Here is a 5,748-nt window from a genome sequence, read left to right as displayed (position 1 = left end):
ACTTTCAAAGCGCGCGAGAGTAGCACAGAGTCTCGGCCAGCGAGGGCGGGGCGGGGCGGGGCCTGGAGGGGGCGGGGCTCGGGATCCCGGGCCGAGTCCACCTGGGAGGCAGGATAAGGCCTGGACCCCTTTTCTGAAAGGCAACCTAGTGCGTCTTCTCCTCCCTCCGCCAGCCCACCTCCAAACCTGGAAACAATAACTTTGTTCTAAATAATAGCAATGATAAGGCTACTTTGTGCCAGGTACTTTCTGAGTATTCACATATTTAATAGCCCAAACAGTTTTGTGTAGCAGGAGCTATTGATATTCATTCTGCGGGTGAGGAAACTGAGGCACAGAGAGATCAAGTGTCTTGCTTAAAGTGACGCAAGGATTAGCCGGGCGGTAGTGGCGCGCGCCTGTAGTCCCATCTACTCGGGAGCCTGAAGCAGGAGAATTGCTTGAACGCGGTAGGCGGAGGTTGCGGTGAGCCGAGATCGCGCCACTTCACTCCAGTCTAGGCGACAGAGTGAGACCCTGTCCTCCAGCCCCTCCCCCCAAAAAAATGTCACCCAAGGAATAAATGGTAGACCTGGGATTTGAATCTCGAGGCACAAAATGCTAACTTGTTCTGGCTCCAGCCCTTTAATAATAATAATAATACAGTACTTCATCTATTTTAAGGCACACTTTTTGTTTCACTTTTTTTTTTTTTTTTTTTGAGACGGAGTCTCGCTCTTGTCCCCCAGGCTGGAGTGCAGTGGCGCAATCTGCAGCTCACTGCCACTTCCAACTCCTAGGTTCAAGGGATAGCTGGGATTATAGGCGTGCAAAGACACCATGCCCGGCTAATTTTTGTATTTTTAGTAGAGACAGGGTTTGGCCATGTTGGCCAGGCTGATCTCGAACTCATGGCCTCAAGTGATCCGCCTGCCTCAGCTCCCCAAAGTGCTGGGATTACAGGCACGAGCCACCTTTCTTTTCTATCTTTTCTTTCCTTTCTTTCCTTTCCTTCCCTTCCTTTCCTCCCTTCCCTCCCTTTCCCCCCCTTCCCTCCCTTCCCACCTTCCTTCCTCCCTACCTCTCTCTCTTTCTCTCTCTCTCTCTTTCTTTTCTCTTCCTTTTTTTCAGACTCCCTCTGTTGCCTAAGGTGGAGTGCAGTGGCACAATCTCAGCTCACTGCAACCTCCGCCTCCCCGGTTCAAGCAATTCTCCTGCCTCAGCCTCCTGAGTAGTTGGGTCTACAGGCATGCACCACCATGCCCGGCTAATTTTTGTATTTTTAACCCCTGTTGGCCAGGCTGGTCTCAAACTCCTGACCTCAGGTGATCCGCCCACCTCGGCCTCCCAAAGTGCCACCACGCCCGGCCTTTGTTTCACATTTCTTTTTTTTTTCTTTTTTCTTTTTTTTGAGATGGAGTCTCGCTCTTTTGCCCAGGCTGGACTGCAGTGGCGCTATCTCGGCTCACTGCACGCTCCGCCTCCCGGGTTCACTCTATTCTCCTGCCTCAGCCTACTGAGTAGCTGGGACCACAGGCGCCCGCCACCACGCCCGGCTAATTTTTTTGTGTTTTTAATAGAGACGGGGTTTCACCGTGTTAGCCAGGATGGTCTCAATCTCCTGACCTCGTGATCCGCCCGCCTCGGCCTCCCAAAGTGCTGGGATTACAGGCGTGAGCCACCGCGACCGGCCAATGTTTCACATTGCTGAAGTCAGTATGTGATTTCAGTTCCAGTTCCAGTTGATGATGATGTGTCATAGTTTAACTGGCAACTATTTATGTTTCTTTGTATATACATGTATCACACTCAATGAAATACAGTTACAAGTGTTTACACAAAATACTTTATTTATTTATTTAAGATGGGGTCTCACTCTGTCACCCAGGCTAGAGTGCAGTGCAGTGACCTCGGCTCACTGCAACCTCTAACTCCAGGGGTCAAACGATCCTCTCACCTTAGCCTCCGGAGTAGCTTGGACCACAGGTGCACACCACCACACTCAGCCAATTTTTTATATTTTTTGTAGAGACAGGGTCTTGACATGTTACCCAAGCTGGCCTCCAACTCCTGAGCTCAAGCGATCCATCTGCCTCAGCCTCCCAAAGTGCTGGGATTACAGGCGTGAGCCACCATACCCAGCAGAGAAGTCGGTTTTATCACTCCCATTTTACAGAAGAAAAACCTGAGGCTCAGAGACCATATGACAGGCCTGAGGTCATACAGTTGCTCAAGGATGTCACCTAGCCCATAAATTGCTGTCCCAGGTTGGTCAGACCCTAAACCTCTGCACTATGTCCACCACACTGGCCACTTTCTGTCACAAGACTGAGACCGAGGTATTTAGTGCGGGTAGTGCTGTGGAGTCCTGGACACTAGCTCCAAGTGGGCAGAGCTGGGTATGCAGAAGTTCCTAGAGACAGGTCACACAGGAACATGACCCCAAAGGCTGGCCCTTCTCCTAAGAAGTTTTCAGGCTAGTTGGGAGGACAAGCAAACACTGTCTCAAAGAAGGTAAGTAACTCAGGAAGATAATTATAAGGCCAGAGGGAGACTGGACCACAGATCTTCCTGCTCCTATCTCAGTTGTCTCTGGGATTCAGCTTTACAGCACTGATTGTCAAAAGTTGTTTGAAACACAACATTTTTTTTTTTCAAGACAGAGTCTTGCTCTGTCGCCCAGGCTGGAGTGCAGTGGCACAATCTTAGCTCACTGCAACCTCTGCCTCCCGGGTTCAAGCTATTTTCCTGCCTCAGCCTCCCAAGTAGCTAGGACTGCAGGCGTGTACCACCCCACCTGGCTAATTTTTGTATTTTTCGTAGAGACGAGGTTTCACCATGTTGGCCAGGCTAGTCTCCAACTCCTGACCTCAAGCAATCCTCCCGCCTCAGCCTCCCAAAGTACTGGGATTACAGGCATGAGCCACTGTGCCTGGCCCAGGCCCTGGTTTTCAACTGGGTCACTTGGGGACTTACCTTCTCCCCTTCCATCAACCCCCTTGAATTCTCCCAGCTCATCAGCTCCATGAGGCAAACAGGACACAGCTCCACAACATTCCTGAAAACTGAAAGAAGCCTGGGCGCGGTGGCTCACGCCTGTAATCCCAGCACTTTGGGAGGCCGAGGTGGGTGGATCACCAGAGGTCAGGAGTTCAAGGCCAACATTGTGAAACCCCGTCTCTACTAAAAATACAAAAAATTAGCAGGGCATTGTGGCAGGCACCTGCAATCGCAGCTACTCCAGAGGCTGAGACAGGAGAATCGCTTGAACCCGGGAGGCAGAGGTTGCAGTGAGCCAAGATCACACCATTGCACTCCAGCCTGGGCAACAAGAGTGAAACTCTGTCTCAAAAGAAAAAAAAAAAAAAGACAAAACTGAAAGAAATACTAGGGCAATAATGATACATAGATTTATTTATTTATTTATTTATTTTTTGAGACGGAGTCTTGCTCTGTCACCCAGGCTGGAGTGCAGTGGCCCAATCTCGGCTCACTGCAAGCTCCACCTCCCGGGTTCACGCCATTCTCCTGCCTCAGCCTCCCAAGTAGCTGGGACTACAGGTGCCCGCCACCACGCCCGGCTAATTTTTTGTATTTTTAGTAGAGACGGGGTTTCACCGTGTCTCAGTCTCCTGAGCTCGTGATCTGCCCGCCTCCGCCTCCCAAAGTGCTGGGATTACAGGCGTGAGCCACTGTGCCCGGCCCTATTTATTTATTTATTTATTTATTTATTTATTTATTTATGTAGGTGTGCACCACCACATCTGGCTAATTAAAAAAACTTTTTTGTAAAGACAGGGTCTCATTATGTTGCCTAGGCTGGTTATGAATTCCTTGCCTCAAGTGATCCTTTCACCTTGGCATTCCCACATGCTAGAATTACAGGCACATACCACCACCCAGCCAATAAAGATATTTAAATAAAAGTAACTTTAGGGCCGGGAGTGGTGGCTCACACCTGTAATCCCAGCACTTTGGGAGGCCGAGGCGGGCGGATCATGTGAGGTCGGGTTCAGCCTGACCAACATGGAGAAACCCTGTCTCTACTAAAAATACAAAATTAGCCGGGCGTGGTGGCGCATGCCTCTAATCTCAGCTACTTGGGAGGCTGAAGCAGGAGAATCACTTGAAACCAGGAGGCGGAGGTTGCAGTGAACCAAGACTGAGACATTGTACCCCAGCCTGGGCAACAAGAGCGAAACTCCATCTCAAAAAAAAAAAAGTAGCTTTAGGCTAGGCACAGTAGCTCACACCTGTAATCCCAGCACTTTGGGAAGCCGAGGCAGACAGATCACTTGAGCCCAGGAGTTCGAGACCAGCCTGGGCAACATGGTGAAACCCCATCTCTACAAAAAATGCAAAATTTAGCCGGACCTGGAGATGTACACCTGTGGTTACAGGTACTGGAGAGGCTGTGGTGGGAGGATCACTTGAGCCCAGGTGGCAGAGGTTGCAGTGAGCCAAGCTGTTGCACTCCAGCCTGGGCGACAAAGCAAGTAATAAAGTAATAAAGTAATAAAAATCTTTATTGTATCAAGATTAATTTCCTCTTCATCTCCATGTTTTTAGCTCCTGCCAAAATTAGAAGCTGCCTTCCCAAATAGTCTAGGTCTAATTTAGATTTTAAAAACAAATTTTTTACATTGAAATAATTTAAAATTTATGATAGAGTTCCAAGAATAGTGCAAAGCACTGCTGTGTTCCCTTCATCCAGATTCATCAACTGATTACATTATGTCACATTTGGTCTATCACTCACTCTCTCTAGACATGTAAATTAATAACATGGCTGGGCGCAGTGGCTCACGCCTGTAATCCCGCACTTTGGGAGACCAAGGTGGGCAAATCACCTCAGGTCTAGGAGTTCAAGATCAGCCTGGCCAACATGGTGAAACCCCATCTCTACTAAAAATACAAAAATTATCTGGGCATGGTGGCTCATGCCTGTATTCCCAGCTACTTGGGAGGCTGAAGTGGGAGAATCACTTGAACCCAGGAGGCAAAGGTTGCAATGAGCTGAGATGACGCCACTGCACTCCAGCCGGGGCAACAAAACGAGACTCCATCTCAAAAAAAAAATTAATTAATAACATATATGTTCTTACTTATCCATTGAGATTAATGACAGACTGCGTGCCCCTTTGCCTCTAAAAAGTTTGTCTTTCCTAAGGACAAAGACATTCTCTTACACAATCACAATACTGTTATCAAATTCGGGATTTTAACATTAATGTAACACTCTTTTCTAATATACAACCATTTTAAAATTTGGCCCTTCCCGCCCCCGCAGAAAAAGAAACAAAAACAGGTTGCTGTGGTGGCTCACACCTGTAATCCCAGCACTTTAGAAGGCTGAGGTGGGTGGGCAGATCCCTTGAGCCCAGGAGTTAGAGGCCTAGCCTGGGCAACATGGTGAAACCCCATCTCTACAAAAAAAAAAAAAAAAAAATAAGCCGGGCATGGTGGTTCACACCTGTAGTCCCAGCTCCTTGGGTGGTTGAGGTGGGAGAATCACCTGAGCCTGGGGAGGTCGAGGCTGCAGTGAGCAGTGATCACATCACTGCACTCCAGCCTGGGTGACAAGAGTGAGACCCTGTCTCAAGAAAAAAAAAAAAAAGAAAGAAACAAAAACAAAACATGTCCTTTGAATAATTTTTCTTTTTTTTTTTGAGATGGAGTCTCGCTCTGTCGCCCAGGCTGGAGGGCAGTGGCGCGATCTTGGCTCACTGCAAGCTCCGCCTCTCGGGTTCACGCCAATCTCCTGCCTCA

General features: G+C 48.7%; 1 annotated feature.

Moving 5' to 3' along the window:
- Positions 41-270: a silencer, noted in NCBI's record as "silent region_258". NCBI's record gives its function as "represses an Ori minimal core promoter by ATAC-STARR-seq in GM12878 lymphoblastoid cells {active_cell/tissue: GM12878}" and the evidence as "EXISTENCE:reporter gene assay evidence [ECO:0000049][PMID:35858748]".

Source organism: Homo sapiens, chromosome 1, assembly GCF_000001405.40.
Source record: "Homo sapiens chromosome 1, GRCh38.p14 Primary Assembly".
Classification (NCBI taxonomy): Eukaryota; Metazoa; Chordata; class Mammalia; order Primates; family Hominidae; genus Homo; species Homo sapiens.
The sequence above is the reverse complement of the archived record's forward strand: the minus strand, read 5'-3'. Positions and strand labels throughout refer to the sequence as shown.